We start from the raw sequence: 18,750 nt of genomic DNA on the forward strand, positions 1-18,750 counted from the left end.
TTTTATGCAGTCTTTTACTCCACTCAGACCAAATTCTCATTTTTTTGCCAGAATTTAAGATTGATATATTATACATAACACTAGTGTAAGATGGAGTTTTAGATCAGTTGCTGATGGCAGTTTTTTTAATTTTAGAAGAAATGGCAGCTACTGAATTAATCCTACTTAATCTCAATTTACACAGATAAATCTAAAAAATAAAATCCAGGGAGAAGACAGAAACTACAATTTGTTACAGTGACTTCCTAGAGAGATGAACAAAAAAGACACAGGAATTGCTTATGCTGGTAGTGTGAAAAGCAATGCTCCAACACCTGCCTTAAACTTCCTAAAATCATGAAGAGATTCAAACATTCAGGAGTTCAATCAAGCCACCCAGCCAGAGACCAGCTGAATCAGGCCCCACAAGAACTCAGGGAGACAGTCTGAGCTGTCCCAGAGCCACATAGTTGCTCGCATTTGGAAAGGTAATTCTTTATTTCTGAAAGTGGAAAAACTACCTGACAATGATCTCAATATTTTCTAGATTCCACAAATGGGGCTTTTAAAATGGCATGCTAATCCATTCTGTGATGTGGGTTTCTAAGGTCAAAATGGGGCTGTAAAGGGTCACTGAGAACCATTCAAGTAGTAAAGAAAATCCTAATTCCTAAGGGAGAACTTCTGAGATACTATTTGACTAAAAATGGAGCTTGCTTTGGAGGGAGACTGAGATAAACTCCCTGCTTCTGTGTCAAGGTACCCAGTCAAAAACTTGTGCTTTCTCTTCAAAATACAAAACTGCAAATCGACACAATTTTTGATCATGTCATATTTTAGGCAAAATCATTTCAATAAGTATTGATTTAGCATCTTTTCTCTGCTGCAAAATTGGGAATGTTCAAAATAAATTCAATTCAAAATTTTAATGGCAAAGTAATGCCTTCCACTGTTGCGGAATTTAAAAGCCATTGCTGACAGCTGTCGTACCCTTGGGAGGAGATGCGGAGTAATACTGCAAATGAAGTCCAAAATATCCCTCGTACCAATTTCATTTTATTCAGTAATTTCATTCTTGCTTTCAAGTCCCACAGAATACAGAAAGCAGGTGTCTGCCTCACTAATCATAGCCCAGGGTTTAATAATTCAATGTCGGGCCTCCTAAGAAAACGTCTCTAAGGGAAACACTTAATGTAGCGTATGGCAAGCTTTCCCTAATGAGCAATTCAGCACGAGTTTTGCAAGATCCTGGGAAATAAAAGGACACACTTTGGAGAACTGTGAATCTGACTGGAGATCACTGACTTCCTCTGAACTTCCTGCCTGCCGGCATCCATTGAGGAAGAGTATCAACCCCAATTTTAAATAGGCCAAGGAAGAAATCTCAGTATCTTTCTTGGAAATTTTCTCCTTGACACAGTATATATACAGCCCTTGGCACAGTGATTGGCACTCAATCGGGCGAGATATAAAAATGGGTATTCAGCATAAATTTCTCTGGAAAATGTCCTTCCACTGGGAAAATGAAGGCAATCGCCACACAGCCCGAATCCCTCATGGATTCATCCTTGGTTTCTCTTCCTTCAGGGCGCTTTTGTGCAGTTCTTTAAAGACAATTAATAAAAGTAGTTAATCACACAAAACTGTGACATATACAGTCAGTCTTAAACTTGATATTGTAGATGATCAGAAATAAAAATAATACCAGTTATAACCATTGCATCAATTTTGGTCATTTATTAGTGTTCAATTAGTTTTTTTGCAGATTGGTGGCTATTTTACAGGTTGAAAAGTTATCCACATCGCTTCTTGGCCTTTTGGCTAAGATCAAGTGTGAAAAGTGATCAGCAAGGTAGTGTAAATGATTTCCTAAATGCCTGTATTGCAGTGGATCTTTGCGTTATGTGAGGTTTCAGTGCTTTTTCACATATAACTTTTGGAAGTCTGTTCGAGAGATTTCCAGAAAGAGTTCTCAGTCAAGCGTTGGTTGAAACAGGATGGTGACGGCTGTCCTTTTAACCTCTACCACATTCGGTTTTTAAAACAATGTCTCCCATCACACAGCAATGCTGAAGTAATTATCAAAACTTTCCCAGACTGTTCTTGGACACCCTGGTTAATGTCCTGTGAGTTATGGGTTACGAGATAAAGAAAAGCAAATAGGTCCTCTAGGCAGAACTGAGACTGAATATGCTAATATTTATTGCACGGTTCCAAGAAATAGCAGCTCTCATCCTTCTGACTTCACAAACCAGTAAAAAAGAATGTATATCTTTAGAGAACTCAGGGTTACAAACTTTTTTATTTTACCAAACAAGAACATACATTAGAGAAAAGGACATGAAGGTTTAAGGAACAATTTAAGGCTGAAAAAAATGGTGAAGTCCCCATCCTGTCCTTTTCTTTCCTATTTTGCCACAGGCTGGCACCTGCCCTCCGCTGGTCATTCAGGAACTGCGGGGGCTCCTGGTGCTCAAGCGCCCTTGATCTTGGCTTCAGGTCTGCAGGACACACCGACCGTCACCACTGCTGAGTCAAGAAGGGGGTCTCCCCTCACTCCCTTCCCCACATTCCTACTGATTCACTCCCACTGATGACTGGGTAGAAAAGTTGCAGAACACTGATTTAGATCATCGTATTGATACGATCTTCTTCTTCATTTCCTTTCCTTTAATTCACGTGGATTTTTTAAACAAAATTTACTTAGTAAAATTCCTTCACAGTACAAAGCTCTTTTATTTGGACAAAGTTGGCTCCAGGCACCGAAAAGCTTGATATTCATTTCCAGCCACCCCAACCTCAAGCACTTGGTAATTACAGCCAAAAGATCAGCAACTCTCACTGGGGAAATACATGGACCCTGTTTACAACATTTTCATACATGGAACACAAACATATACAAGCAGCTTCTGCGAATACTTATACATTACATGAAAAGCAAAAATAGTATCATGCTTTAAACTGTTTCTCAAAAAATAATTTCAAACGACAAGCTTTTAAATAATTAGGCCACTTAATTTTTATTACACCAAGAGTCAGAAAATGATTGCAGACTACATCCTTTTACACAAAACACATTTGTAGGGTTTCTAAAAAGCTACATACATAAAGGAAAAATTTTAGAATAATATCCTACTTTCAGTGTGTCAGGGAAATTTGCTAATATGTTTTAAGGTTATGTTAGTTTTTATTTTTTTAAAGTAATACATACCTGGATAGTCAATGAGGGTTCAATGCAGGTTCATGTGGGACTGCAAATCTGGCCTATTTTTTGATGAATCTTGCTTTCAAAATCTTATTGACGTGACCACCTTCCCTGCACATGATTAGTTTTACTGGCATCTGGGGGTCATACATGGGTCTCTTCAACTACCTCCTTAACTCAGAACTCCAGAAGCCAGCGAGCTCCAGAGAGGCCGGTATCGGGTCTTCCCATGCCTGAGGCACCCTTAGGTCCATTCCTGGCCTCAAGGGAATATGGTGGTTGGAGGGAAGAGTGGACACACCAACACCCAGGAGAGGGCCTGGCATGAAGCAGATGTCCAGTGGAGACAACTGTCATCCAAACAACTGAAAGGCTACCTTTAAGATACAATGCTGGCCGGGCGCGGTGGCTCATGCCTGTAATCCCAGCACTTTGGGAGGCTGAGGTGGGCAGATCACTTGAGGTCAGGAGTTCAAGATCAGCCTGGCCAATATGGTGAAACCCTGTCTCTACTAAAAATACAAAAAATTAGCTGGGCATGGTGGTGGGCACCTGTGGTCCCAGCTACTCAGGAGGCTGAGGCAGGAGAATCACTTGAACCCAGGAGGTGGAGGTTGCAGTGAGCTGAGATCATGCCACTTGTACTCCAGCCTGGGCAAGAGAGTGAGACTTCATCTCAAAAAAAAAAAAAAATAAAAAAGATACAACGTTACAAAATGTTTACAGGCAAACCTTAGACAACCCAGATCCTTCAGCCCACATCTATTCTACTTCCCCACAAGAAGCTACAGGAAGGGAGACAGAAATCAAGGGCAGCAAGTGAACTCTTTAAGGCAACTGAAAACCTCCCATCCCCAGAGCAAAACATGACAATGAGAGGAAAGAAGATGGAACAAACTGTGATGCTTCTATCTTGACTTATGACAAAAGGGCTAAAAATGAGCAACATTTCAAAGGGCTAGAAAGGAACTGTACTATGATTACTTGGCAAAGAAAAGCAACACGGATAAACAGGATTCCAATTTTTTTTTTTTTTTTTAAATAAGAGATGGGGTCTCACTCCATCGCCTGGGATGAAGTGCAGTGGCACGATCACAGCTCACTGCATGCTCAAACTCCTGGGCTCAAGAGATCCTCCTGCCTCAGCCTCTCAAACAGCTGAGACTACAAGTGCACACCACCATGCCCAGCTGATTTTTTTTATTTTTTGTAGAGACAGGGTCCTGCTATGTTAACTCCTGGCCTTGGGCAGTCCTCCTGCCTCGGCCTCCCAGAGTGCTAGGATTTTAGGCGTGAGCCACCACACCCAGCCCTGATCAATTTTTGACTCCTTTGTGCTCGACGTTATCCCCACATTTATATCAACCAGCAGGGAGAAGTGGTGAGGACAGAGAATGCAGATCTGGGCACGGATCCACTCAGGCTCCTCTCTCAGCGGCACTCTCTCTGTAGATGCGAAACAGTGAGGCACATGTTGTAAAAGCCCAAACACAATACTTCAAAAGCATGCACAGAAACCCCTTGACATCTGAATATATGACGTTAACTTTCAGGCCAAGTGGACTGACCCTGGCTCCTCTCCTGCTGCTAGGTTCATCCGCAACAGACAGGAATGTTTGCGAGGTGAGAGTTGTATTTTTCTTACATAAAAGATCTGTTTTACAAGGTTATTTTATCTGGTTACCAGTCTAATGCATAAAAGACAGTGGTATCCTGTCTCATGTACAAAGAGCAATGCTGCCTGGGACGCCTCCCGCATGTGCGGCGGCACCACTCTGATGATGCTCTTCCATCTCTCCACTCGGTCCCAATATTAGAGTTTCTTCAGGCTGCTTCATTTTTCCACGATGCGCCTCTCAGCGAGGCTGTATTTTGTAGGAAAGTTCCAGTGAACGATGTAACAGGTGGAGAATCCCAGATCCGAAAACAGAGATTGGAAACACGCAAAGGGACCCGTGTGTTGAAACACATTTCTAATCAGATAATCGGGTGCATCTGTTCTGTTAAATGTCCACTACACTTATAAACAAATTAACCAAATTCAGAAATAACCATACAATTGTAAAATCTGTAAGGAATAAGGAAGGAATTATCTGTGAATCTTGACCATTTTCCTGAAAATCTGCTGCAGATTTAAGTGTTATGAAACAACAGAATCCTAAATTTCCAGTCACTACTACAATTTGAAGTACACATGTTACGCTGTAAATCTGATACCCCAAGACATAAGAAAAAGTCACACTTAGGGAGAAAATCTTCATAATTGTTAGAAATGTTAGAAGAAATATGTTCATTTAAAAAACAGGACATTAGTACTCAACTTATGAAATAAACCCACTAAGCCAGCAGGAGGCATTGCCTAGGAGGACTGTGGCTCAGCGGCCTTAGTGCCTTGGACTCTATTTCTATCACCCGTGCTTCTGGGGCAGCCCTTTGCAGAGAGTTTCCGTCCATTTCATTAGGAAGCTCTTGCCATGTGGCTCAGTTCTATGCGTGGAAAAGCAATGAGCGACCTTCAAGATCTGATGCTCCATTCCAAGGCGACAGAGAATCAACCACAGATGGGCGCGAGAACAGAGTCAGATCACCGGCCAAGGTAAAATGAAGACGATCTTCTGGATTGGGGCTTCCTGACACATGACCAGGGCCAGTCCCTACACCCACAGAAACCACACGAATACGTATGTCTGTACAGTCTTCCCAGGAAAAGGATCCATAGATTTCTTCAATTTTCCAAAGAGTTTGTCTGAAACTTCCAAAATAAAAAGAACCATTGTTTCGGGCTCATTTTCTCTGGGTGTTCCTATGTATTTAGTGCACCTGAACTCATAACGATGTATTCGTCCCTGGGTAAAGAGTCAGATTTCTGAATTCTCAGTGATATGCCGGGCTATGAAGTGCAGTGACCAAGAAGGTGCAGATTCCCCAAGAGACACATACTGAAACGCTTTTCTAGTACAACTGAGGCCAACATAAAATCTGAATAAAAGTGTAAGGTTTTCTTTGGAACCTTATTTCCCTATGTCTAGATGTGTTCTATTTCTAGGAAGTTTCTAGGAAGCAAGCATCAAACCCTGACTGTATTCATGCCATCATCTCCACTACGTTCAGTTGTCTACATTATTTTCTAAAGTTATCCAACAGGGACAGAAGACCTTTATTAACAATATTTCCCTAATATCTAATATACTTATTTTTAGCTAAGTTAATCTTTGAGCCACATATCCATTCAGAACATACCAGAACAAACTCAAACTCACTGTTAGGAAATGTATCGATACTTCCAAAGATCTCATGCCACTACCCTTAAGACACTGCAGCCTGCTAGGGTGGGCTATCCAACATCAGAACGCCCACAGCTCCAGACCCGGCATGGACCATCTCATCCTCCCCAGGAAAGGCACTTCCTTCCCTGACAGCACTTTAAGTCAGCTCTGGGCGAGTTTATCCCCCAACCCTACCACCATTTTTTATTCTTAGGCTCTGAAGTTTTTCCTTCTTGGGTCGCTTTCATTTGTGCTCAGAGTTTTCAGCATCTAAGATGGCCTTTAAACTATTCATTCCAGTAGGGACCAAGTTTTCTCCTGCCTGGTTAATTCCTTCTGAGTGTAGCAAATGCCTGGGCCCAGTCAATATTGTGGCTAGAACTGGCTAAGAGGAAACACCTCTACTGACGAAAGCATCACAGAATAAAAGTTTCTAAAAGCCTGTCATAATAAGAAAATGACTAAACAGCCAATAGAGGTTCAGATTAAAATTTAACGTGACTTTTAAAAACCTACTTAATGTTGTTTTTTTGTTTTTGTTTGTTTGTCTTTGACATGGAGTCTTACTCTGTCGCCCAGGCTGGAGTGCAGTGACACAATCTCGGCTTACTGCAGCCTCCACCTCCCGGGTTCAAGCAATTCTCCTGCCTTAGCCTCCTGAGTAGCTGGGATTACAGGTGCCCGCCACCACATCCGGCTCATTTTTGTATTTTTAGTAGAGATGGGGTTTTACCATGTTGGCCAGGCTGGTCTTGAACTCCTGACCTCAAGTGCTCAGCCCACCTTGGCCTCCCAAAGTGCTGGGATTACAGGCGTGAGCCACTGCGCCTGGCCTTAAAAAACCTACTTTATGTTTTCACTGTGCTTTATATTAAATACATTACCAGCCAATTTCTCTTAAAACAAGCAAAGCAAAAAGGAGCCAGGGGTATTGGGGTAGACTATTCAGCTTCCAAAAGCCATCTAATAGAAATGTTATGAAAACTTCTGCTATACACTAGTTTCGGAAATACTGGATAATCCACCAACCATCAAACTTTCAATAAACGAATACACGAACATTCCACTGAGCTTCTACTCAGTCTCTATAGTTCCGTGCATTCTCTTCATTCTTTCCCCTTGATCCATTTCCAAGTTGCTCTGAATGTCGTCTTAAAAGTCAGTCTTTCCCTGTTTTGGTCAATTACTTGACCATCATATGTATCTGCCCCAGAATGCTTCTCAAGTTTCTTAATCCCAGGAACAGGTAAGAAAAAAAGATAGCCGCTCGAGGACTTTCTGACTTTCCTATCAAATACAAATTCTCATTCATTCCAATGGTCGAGAACACATTAGTCTACATTCTGAAAGTAGCCCACAGTTTTAAATAGCATGTTCAGGTACATGGAATACACTCAACTTTCCTTTTTTTTTTTTGAGGCGGAGTCTTGCTCTGTTGCCCAGGCTGGAGTGCAGTGGTGCGATCTCGGCTCACTGCAAGCTCCGCCTCCCAGGTTCACACCATTCTCCTGCCACAGCCTCCCGAGTAGCTGGGACTACAGGCGCCTGCCACCACGCCTGGCTTTTTCTATTTTTTTTTTTTTTTTTTTTTTTTTTTAGTAGAGACAGGGTTTCACTGTGTTAGCCAGGATGGTCTCGATCTCCTGACCTCGTGATCTGCCCGCCTCGGCCTCCCAAAGTGCTGGCATTACAGGCGTGAGCCACTGCGCCTGCCCAACTTTCCATTTTTTAAAGGATAAATAAGCTTTCCTGGAGATTAAAGTTTCTGTCCTTCTCCTCCCTTCCATTCACACTGTCTACCCTTTTGGCTACTAATTTTGCACTAATTCATTCAGCCAATAATAGAAGGAGGTGGCGGCTGGAGGGCAAACTGAACAGCTCCTTCTCTCTCCTCATTGGCACTTCTGCCCTACATAGTAACGTCTCATTTTAAAAACTGGTAGCACTGTGCCACAAGTATATTTGGATATAATTTGGGTGGACTTTGCATATTCTAATACAGGCCATTCTGAGACCGGTTCCAGACTGAAATTTTGTCTTTACTGCCTTTAGGAGTGTCACTTGATGATTTCTTTCTTCCTGAAAAATAATTGCCTCTGATCTAAATAACTTACACTGCAAGCAGACAGAAAAGACAAGAATAGGCATAGGAGGAATTACAGAAACTTCCTGGGAAAAATGAGGTTCATAAGAACCCCAAAACCTTCAAAAGATAACTGTCTCCAAAGCATGACACTAATACTGATAGCTGATAATGAGAGACATGCATGTCAACCCAGAAGTACATCATAATTATCTGTTATTAGATATACTTTAATGAAATCTACTGATTCATCTAGTAAGTTACTAGATATGTGAAAACAACATAATTTCCAGAGTTCCTAAATATGTCCAATATATTGAACTTAGGGATCCAAGATTCTGAACATGCCATCACCAAAAAAAATTGCAAACCTAAAAAACAAAAAGGAAACAAATTAAACAATGTCAAAGGAAAGACTTTCTTAGAAATGGTCAATAATTACTTTTATAATTTTCAAAACATTTTAAGTTAATACTTTTTATCGTCTTACCATTATAAGCTCTTAAGTCTAACATTAAAGTTTTATTTAAAAACAAGGCAGTTTTCATAAAGCAAAATAAATATTACACAATACTCATCCACACCACCTACTTAATTATAGAGTATTTACTGGGTCAAAATATCTCCACATTCATAATTTGAGCCTTTAAAGTGGCATTAGTTCTGTCTTTATTTTCTTTTAAAAGTTGTCATCATGGTGACAGACATTCAGATGCATAACTAAAATTATAGATTTTGTTCTTATGCATCTCATACTTTTAGAAACTATTTTTTTAGTCGAGTAATAGCGGTTACAGTCTTTGTGCTTCTATTACATTAACTTTTAGCACATGAACTAAGAAAGATGCTCTTCAAAGTTGTTCTAACCACAAAGAGGTAGGCCTTTTTTGAAAAAGAAAAAAAAACAATTTTTTGGCAAAAGAAATCAAAATTTCCAAAAGTAAAAACATCAGTATTATTTCTCATTAAAAATATTAATATACAAAAGTGAGCTGTATGAATAAAACATTTACTATAGGCTTAAAGACCATGCTACTTAGACCAGCTTATTTAATTATTCCACAGAAAATCAAGAGTTCAGAGTTCATATTTCCAAAAGCATAAAACAACACATCAGGAGATATGGTCAAACAAAGAACCACTGAGTGCACACTGGTTTTTCTTTAAGAACAAGGCGAAGCTGGCCTGGGGAAGCAGAAATTATTAAGAGCCCACACACATAAAATCACTGCTCTCCCAGTCAACCTAATGGGGCCCAGATTTCCATGGCCAGCTTGTGAGTAATTTTTTCTTAGTGTATGTGAATAATTCTCCCTATCATTACAGAAAGCCACATACATGAAGAAAAAGAACACATTTTATAAATGTTAAATCACTCTCAACATCTGAGATTAAGCAGTAAGAAAATACTGTTTGTAGGGAAATTAAGTAACACAGAATTACATGACAACTGAGTCTCCAGAAGAGAAACATGAAAATAAAGATGACTTTTAAAAAATGATGATGTTTTCAGTTCCTTACAATTTGCCTTCTGTAGCACCCTCCAGAATGAGATGAAATTTAATTTTCTCACCATCTCATCAATTAAATGACTGCACAATTTAGGCTAAACATAAGTAAATCTGTGATACTATATTTGTTATTAATGCTGTTACATGTAGTGAAAGAAATGAAGTGGCGTAAACAACCACTTATTTGAAATAATAGCTTAGTGTGAATCTGAACTCCAAGCAAAAACCTTTTTGGAATTCTATTTTTAGGAGAGTTAAACATAGTAACTGCCTTATAAGCTCCACTACCTCAACATATTTAAAAGGACATGGTCCATCAGAATACATTTAATAATTAAATAACACTCCCCTCCACCCAAAAAAGTTTTACTAAAATGTAAAAAGAAGCCACTGTATTATCTTCAACCAAAAAATATATTTGAACATGTAATAGCTTAAAGCTAACTGATACAACTAACATTCTCCAAAGGCACATCATATTTTAAAAAGTAAAATAAACAAACACACACATACATAAAACATTACAATTCTTTAACATAGAAAAAAAAGTTGTGGCAAGAATCCTTACTTTCTAGTCTAAAAACCTGTAAGTCTGGATTCCCTTTTGTTTAAGAGCAAAACCCTATTGTTTAAAAAAAAATTTCAATCTCCAACTCCTAATGGCTCAGGTTTTTTCATATAATAAATATTTTGTTGCTGATTAGGTAGCTCACAAGAGCTCACTTTAAAAAGCCATGTTAAAACAGCTCTAAAAGGTTTAATTAGCATTTATGATGTAAGCCCTTTTGTAAAACATTTGAGCTAATTTAGGTACGATATGTCAGTATGTTGTTTAATACCTTTGGTTTACAACTTTAAAATGTTTTTAATCTTGAAGAGGAAGGAACTGGGGCAGCACAGACACGGAAACACATGAAGGCCTCCCTCTCGCTGGCTTTGCCATTTACCATGCGGGCTGAAGTGGTTTCAGGACGAGGCGATCGCTCACCTTCTAGTCAGAAATCAGATGACCTCAAAACAACCTCATTTCAGGCTGAGGCCTCATGTCTTTCGCTTAGAGCTAAAAATAAAAATACATGTGAATGAACAAATGAGCATGGAATGAAATCTCTAACATGACACTAAAATATAAAATATTAGAAGCCATTTTTATCACAGAAAAATGAAAATGTACACATTTCTACACAGAGAATCACAATCCTATTTTGAATGGAGTGGTGCCCGTCTTATCCTGTTAGCCGCTGGGTATCGTAACAACTGAAATCCAAGTTGGTTCTACAAAGCTAAAGTCATATTTGATTCATTTCCTGAGATTATAAAACACTGATTTATTTACTTATTTATTTGAGACAGAGTCTCACTCTGTCACCCAGGCTAGAGTGCAGTGGCATGGATCTCAGCTCATTGCAGCCTCTGCCTCCTGGGTTCAAGCGATTCTCCTGCCTCAGCCTCCCAAGTAGCTGAGATTACAGGTGCCCACCACCATGCCTGCTAATTCTTGTATTTTTAGTAGACACAGGGTTTCACCATGTTGGCTGGGCTGGTCTTGAACTCCTGACCTCAGATGATCCACCCGCCTTGGCCTCCCAAAGTGCTGGGATGACAGGCGTGAGCCACCGCACCTGGCCAAACATTTATTTTTAATAGAGTTAAATTTAACAATATTTTAATGAAGTCAGCTACTTAGATCACATATGTGTGTGTGTGTGTGTGTGTGTGTGTGTGTGTGTGTGTGTGTGTGTATGTGCCAGGGCAAGAAAGGTCAGTGTAATGCTAAACCGTAACAATAGCCTGGCCCTCAGAAATATATTTTTGTGTATTCACAACTCTTGGTTCCAATAGCAGTACTCGTACAACATGAAAACTAACCTTTTTCTCTAACCAAAATAAGGCACTCACTCATTCAACAAATACCGAATGTTTCTAAGCACCGGAATTAAGTGCTTGGTATGACAGAACGAGTTCTAAACCTCATCAGTGAGTCTGGAGTCGTCAGCCATCTATTTCCTAATTTGAGGTCTCAAGTCTGGGCTATGATGCTAAGGAGATTCCACAAGAGGTAGGAGGGCAGTATGTATTAAGTGACAACAGAATGAGGCTGCAGGATTTGAAACAAAATCCTGAATCCCTGAATCTCTCTGCTGTTGCTGTCAATGACCTCAACTCATCATGTGTCTGTCTCTTCAGTATGAAGCTTCTGTTTTCAAAATCCTATTTTAATCCTGGAAATTAATTCTTTCTCATTTGGAGAATGCTGGTGGTTTTGGTCCCAAACATAATGCCTCAGGCTATTTTGAAAGGTTAAATCTGCCAAGTACCTTCAAAAACCATTTATTTTAAGAGTAATTCATTCAACTGAAGCCATAATTTAAAATTCAGAAATCCTGCTGCTAAAGTTATATTTAAAGAATTGGCCCTAGCTATACTGTAATGAAGACAAATATGTTACAGAATGTTTTACACCATTCATCTATGCCCATTAAATATTATTCATAAATTATCACATATAGTCTACACTAACATTATCGTTCAATGTTTTGCATTTCTCTGCTGGTTCTACATATACCAATGACATTTTTTAATTGTGTGGGAATATGATACGTTACCAAAAAAATGTCAAAATATATGCACCTGATTCAAATTAAGCTCCATGTTCATCTTAACCCATTTCTGCCTAGGGTCCCATTACTGCAACGCTAAGCTTGTGGGAGTTATTTGTGTCCTACTGCTCAAGATCATCACCAAGGCCTGATTTTTCACAAAAAAATCTGCAACCTCCAGCATAAATGGGTTAAAACCAGAAGAATAAATACATTTCTGAGTTGGCTTATCTTCTATAATTTTTCATGGAGTCTAACTAAATTTAATATCTTGACAAATACTACCAAGTGAAATGTTTTGACTCTGAAGTTCATAGGTCTCAGAAAATACTTTAAAGTAATATACTGCAGTTTATGCTTAAATACTTAGAATAAAGAAGACAAGAACTATTGGGAGTCATATCTGGGTTTTAAGCAAATCAATAAGCTTTGAAAGTACATTTCCCACGGATGTTCGTAAGATGATTCTTAAGTTTTAGATTTTGCTGCATTCAAATTTTAAACATGGAAAACTGTATGCTGGTCTTATGTGCAAGCAGTGAAACCCGTCCTCCTTTCCCATGTATGTCGGAGGGCACTGTTCTTTTCAGTTCATAGGAAGCTTCAGAGAAAACGTAACTAATTCATAGATACCCTTTTTCCACTCTAAGTCTTAAACATGCTCATCTATGTATCCCAAATTTGTCCTGTGTCAACACAGAGAACCTGTCGGCTACCCACAGCTCAACTCTTACTTGACTTTTCTCTCTTTTTTTGAGACAAGAGTCTTGCTCTGTTATGCAGGCTGGAATGCAGTGACACAATCTTGGCTCACTGCAACCTCCACCTCCTGGGTTCAAGCGATTCTCCTGCCTTAGCCTCCTGAGTACCTGGGATTACAGGGGCCCATCGCCACACCTGGCTAATTTTTGCATTTTTAGTAGAGACGGGGTTTCTCCATGTTGGCCAGGCTGGTCTCGCACTCCTGACCACAGGTGATCCACCTGTCTCAGCCTCCCAAAGTGCTGGGATTACAGGCAGGAGCCACTACACCAGGCCTATTTGCTACCATTCGTTGGCAAGAACTAAAAGCAGCTGAGAGGTTTCATTCGCCTCCCGAACTCAGATGTCCCCCTTACATCTCACAACCTCATCCATGCCACAGTCACAGCTGCCATTTCCCCCTTTTTCCTTCAACCACTTGATGTTTTGTAATGCAGGTTACAGTCGACAACAACTGCGACACTGTCCTAACTCCAAAACTTTCACTACTTCCACTTTAGGCCTTTGATGATAAAATAAGGAGGCTGAATCCTCAGAGGTATATTTCAGCTTACTAACTATATACTTAGTCTTAACTTTTACTACTCATAAAACTCCATCCACCACTTCAGTAATATTACACTGTCTCCCATTTAATAGGATTGATGAATTCTAGTGAGTTAGTTACAAATTTAGACTAACTATAGAGTCAAACTTCTATAAAAACAAATGCTATTTATTTAAGAACATTCAACGTCAAAGATATTTTCATGAAAAACTGTTTCCTTAGTTTAGACTGAATCTTTTTTGCAGAAAGGGTTAACCCCCATGATACACTAGGGGTGAAACTGCAACCTGAACACTGCAGTCCCCTCTTAGAAGTTTTCTTTCTGCTCCCAGAACCTGACAGATTCTAAGATTTCCTGTCTGACACATACGCCTCTTGTCTCCTAACCCAGCAAAAACCAACAGCATTCTTAATTTCTGTGGGAGTCCTGCAACTTCACATATGCAGCTTGCACCCTAAACACAACACATTTATCAGTCAGAAAATCCCAAACTGAAGGATTCCACAGGAAGAAAACAGAATGTCTGAATGACGGCGTGGAGACAGCGGCTGGCCATTTGGGAAACTTAAGGCAGCATCTCTATCTTCATTCCTTAAGCCAAAATAACATCCAGAAATGTCACATTTAATCTGAAAATGTGAAACCATAAAAATGTGAAACCATAAAAATGTTCAAAGAAAATATGGCTGAAATTTTTAAAAGTACATTTTAAGGCACATGAAGAACTTTAATTATGACATAAACCCTAGGAGCCAAAAAAGAACACAACTGATTAAAAAGTGGCCAAAAAACCACTTATAAACAAACAACATAAACTGAGAAAAAATTCTAGTAAATATTAATATGAATACAGTTCTTATAAATTCCCAAGAAAAAGAAAACCCCATGAAAACTGTGCAACAATTACAGACAATTCATCAAGGAAAACAAGACCAATAAATACAGAAAAATAACTTCAAACCCATTCAAAAGCAATATAAACCCAAATGAGACGCTAACAGAGTGACAGGGAATACCGAGAGTGTGGGGGACCAGGCATCCAAACAGACCGTTAGGAGAGGTATACACCAGCACCAACTTTTTGAAGAATAATGACGTTATTTACCAAAATGTTAAAATCTGCATGCTTTTGACCCAGAAATTTAACTTCTGGGACCAGATTCTTATTTCTTCTCACACGTAAGCAAAAATATTTGTACGAGGACATTGTTTATAACCACAATACAGTACTACTCTTAATATACAAAAAAATGAAAGAAAAAATCTGCAAAACAAGCCCAACTGTCTGTCAAGGGGAAGCTGGTTTAAAAAAAATGTTACCTTTCTTTTCTTTTGTTGTATCTCTGCCAGGCTTTGGTATCTGGATGATGCTGGCCTCATAAAATGAGTTAGGGAGGATTCCCTCTTTTTCTATTGATTGGAATAGTTTCAGAAGGAATGGTACCAGCTCCTCCTTGTACCTCTGGTAGAATTCATCTGTGAAACCCTCTGGTCCTGGACTTTTTTTAGTTGGTAAGCTATTAACTATTGCCTCAATTTCAGAGCCTGTTATTGGTCTATTCAGAGATTCAACTTCTTCCTGGTTTCGTCCTGGGAGAGTGTATGTGTCAAGGCATTTATCCATTTCTTCTAGACTTTCTAGTTTATTTGTGTAGAGGTGTTTATAGTATTCTCTGATGGTAGTTTGTATTTCTGTGGGATCGGTGGTGATATCCCCTTTATCATTTTTTATTGCATCTATTTGATTCTTCTCTCTTTTCTTCTTTATTAGTCTTGCTAGTGGTCTATCAATTTGGCTGATCTTTTCAAAAAACCAGCTCCTGGATTCACTGATTTTTTGAAGGGTTTTTTGTGTCTCTATTTCCTTCAGTTCTGCCCTGATCTTAGTTATTTCTTGCCTTCTGTTAGCTTTTGAATGTGTTTGCTCTTGCTTCTCTAGATCTTTTAATTGTGATGTTAGGGTGTCAATTTTAGATCTTTCCTGCTTTCTCTTGTGGGCATTTAGTGCTATAACTTTCACTCTATACACTGCTTTGAATGTCTCTGAGAGATTCTGGTATGTTGTGTCTTTGTTCTCGTTGGTTTCAAAGAACATCTTTATTTCTGCCTTCATTTCATGATGTACCCAGTAGTCATTCAGGAGCAGGTTGTTCAGTTTCCATGTAGTTGAGCAGTTTTGAGTGAGTTTCTTAATCCTGAGTTCTAGTTTGTTTGCACTGTGGTCTGAGAGACAGTTTGTTATAATTTCTGTTCTTTTACATTTGCTGAGGAGTGCTTTACTTCCAACTATGTGGTCAATTTTGGAATAGGTGTGGTGTCGTGCTGAAAAGAATGTATATTCTGTTGATTTGGGGTGGAGAGTTCTGTAGATGTCTATTAGGTCCGCTTGGTGCAGAGTTGAGTTCAATTCCTGGATAGCCTTGTTAACTTTCTGTCTCGTTGATCTGTCTAATGTTGACAGTGGGGTGGTAAAGTCTCCCATTATTATTGTGTGGGAGTCTAAGTCTCTTTGTAGGTCACTAAGGACTTGCTTTATGAATCTGGGTGCTCCTGCATTGGGTGCACATATATTTAGGACAGTTAGCTCTTCTTGTTGAATTGATCCCTTTACCATTATGTAATGGCCTTGTCTCTTTTGATCTTTGTTGGTTTAAAGTCTGTTTTATCCGAGACTAGGATTGCAAACCCTGCCTTTTTTTTGTTTTCTATTTACTTGGTAGATCTTCCTCCATCCCTTTATTTTGAGCCTATGTGTGTCTCTGCACGTGAGATGGGTTTCCTGAATACAACATACTGAGAATTTTAGACCAATATCCTTGATGAACATTGATGCAAAAATCCTCAATAAAATACTGGCAAACCGAATCCAGCAGCACATCAAAAAGCTTATCCACCATGATCAAGTGGGCTTCATCCCTGGATGCAAGGCTGGTTCAACATACGAAAATCAATAAACGTAATCCAGCATATAAACAGAACCAAAGACAAAAACCACATGATTATCTCAATAGATGCAGAAAAGGCCTTTGACAAAATTCAACAACGCTTCATGCTAAAAACTCTCAATAAATTAGGTATTGATGGGACATATCTCAAAATAATAAGAGCTATCTATGACAAACCCACAGCCAATAACATACTGAATGGACAAAAACTGAAAGCATTCCCTTTGAAAACTGGCAGAAGACAGGGAGGCGCTCTCTCACCACTCCTATTCAACATAGTGTTGGAAGTTCTGGCCAGGGCAATCAGGCAGCAGAAGGAAATAAAGGGCATTCAAGTAAGAAAAGAGGAAGTCAAATTGTCCCTGTTTGCAGATGACATGATTGTATATTTAGAAAACCCCATCGCCTCAGCCCAAAATCTCCTTAAGCTGATAAGCAAACTCAGCGAAGTCTCAGGATACAAAATCAATGCGCAAAAATCACAAGCATTCTTATACACCAATAACAGACAAACAGAGAGCCAAATCATGAGTAAACTCCCATTCACAATTGCTTCACAGAGAATAAAATGTCTAGGAATCCAACTTACAAGGGATGTGAAGGACCTCTTCAAGGAGAACTACAAACCACTGCTCAACGAAATAAAAGAGGATACAAACAAATGGAAGAACATTCCATGCTCATGGGTAGGAAGAATCAATATCGTGAAAATGGCCATACTGCCCAAGGTAATTTATAGATTCAATGCCATCCCCATCAAGCTACCAATGACTTTCTTCACAGAATTGGAAAAAACTACTTTAAAGCTCATATGGAACCAAAAAAGAGCCCGCATCGCCAAGTCAATCCTAAGCAAAAAGAACAAAGCTGGAGGTATCACACTACCTGACTTCAAACTATACTACGAGGCTACAGTCACCAAAACAGCATGGTACTGGTACCAAAACAGAGATATAGACCAATGGAACAGATCAGAGCCCTCAGAAATAATGCCGCATATCTACAACTATCTGATCTTTGACAAACCTGAGAAAAACAAGCAATGGGGAAAGGATTCCCTATTTAATAAATGGTGCTGGGAAAACTGGCTAGCCATATGGAGAAAGCTGAAACTGGATCCCTTCCTTACACCTTAGACAAAAATTAATTCAAGATGGATTAAAGCCTTACATGTTAGACCTAAAACCATAAAAACCCTAGAAGAAAACCTAGGCAATACCACTCAGGACATAGGCATGGGTGAGGACTTCATGTCTAAAACACCAAAAGCAATGGCAACAAAAGCCAAAATTGACAAATGGGATCTGTTTAAACTAAAGAGCTTTTGCACAGCAAAAGAAACTACCATCAGAGTGAACAGGCAACCTACAGAATGGGAGAAAATTTTTGCAACCTCCTCATCTGACAAACGGCTAATATCCAGAATCTACAACGAACTCAAACAAATTTACAAGAAAAAAACAAACAACCCCATCAAAAAGTGAGCGAAGGATATGAACAGACACTTCTCAAAAGACATTTATGCAGCCAAAAAACACATGAAAAAATGCTCATCATCACTGGCCATCAGAGAAATGCAAATTAAAACCACAATGAGATACCATCTCACACCTGTTAGAATGGCGATCATTAAAAAGTCAGGAAACAACAGGTGCTGGAGAGGATGTGGAGAAACAGGAACACTTTTACACTGTTGGTGGGACTGTAAACTAGTTCAACCATTGTGGAAGTCAGTGTGGCGATTCCTCAGGGATCTAGAACGGGAAACACCATTTGACCCAGCCATCCCATTACTGGGTATATACCCAAAGGATTATAAATCATGCTGCTATAAAGACACATGCACACATA

General features: G+C 39.4%; 1 protein-coding gene across 6 annotated transcripts in view; it reads right to left on the reverse strand.

Annotated features, from left to right (window-relative positions):
• XKR6 (XK related 6) overlaps nt 1–18,750 on the reverse strand; it is a 305,789-nt gene that overhangs the window by 206,944 nt on the left and 80,095 nt on the right. For 2 of the 6 annotated variants that reach the window (NR_138153.2, XR_948899.4), the window contains 2 exons: nt 11,033–11,104; nt 8,743–8,904 (listed from right to left, as the gene is read on the reverse strand). The exons of 2 other annotated variants lie outside the window; for them this stretch is intronic. The gene's annotated coding sequence lies outside the window, so the exon portion shown is untranslated. Of the gene's footprint in view, nt 1–8,742; nt 8,905–10,883; nt 11,105–18,750 lie in introns of those variants that run through there. 2 more of the 6 variants (NR_138154.2, NR_138152.2) reach the window with 1 other exon arrangement.

This window comes from Homo sapiens, chromosome 8 (assembly GCF_000001405.40).
Source record: "Homo sapiens chromosome 8, GRCh38.p14 Primary Assembly".
NCBI classification, from domain to species: domain Eukaryota; kingdom Metazoa; phylum Chordata; class Mammalia; order Primates; family Hominidae; genus Homo; species Homo sapiens.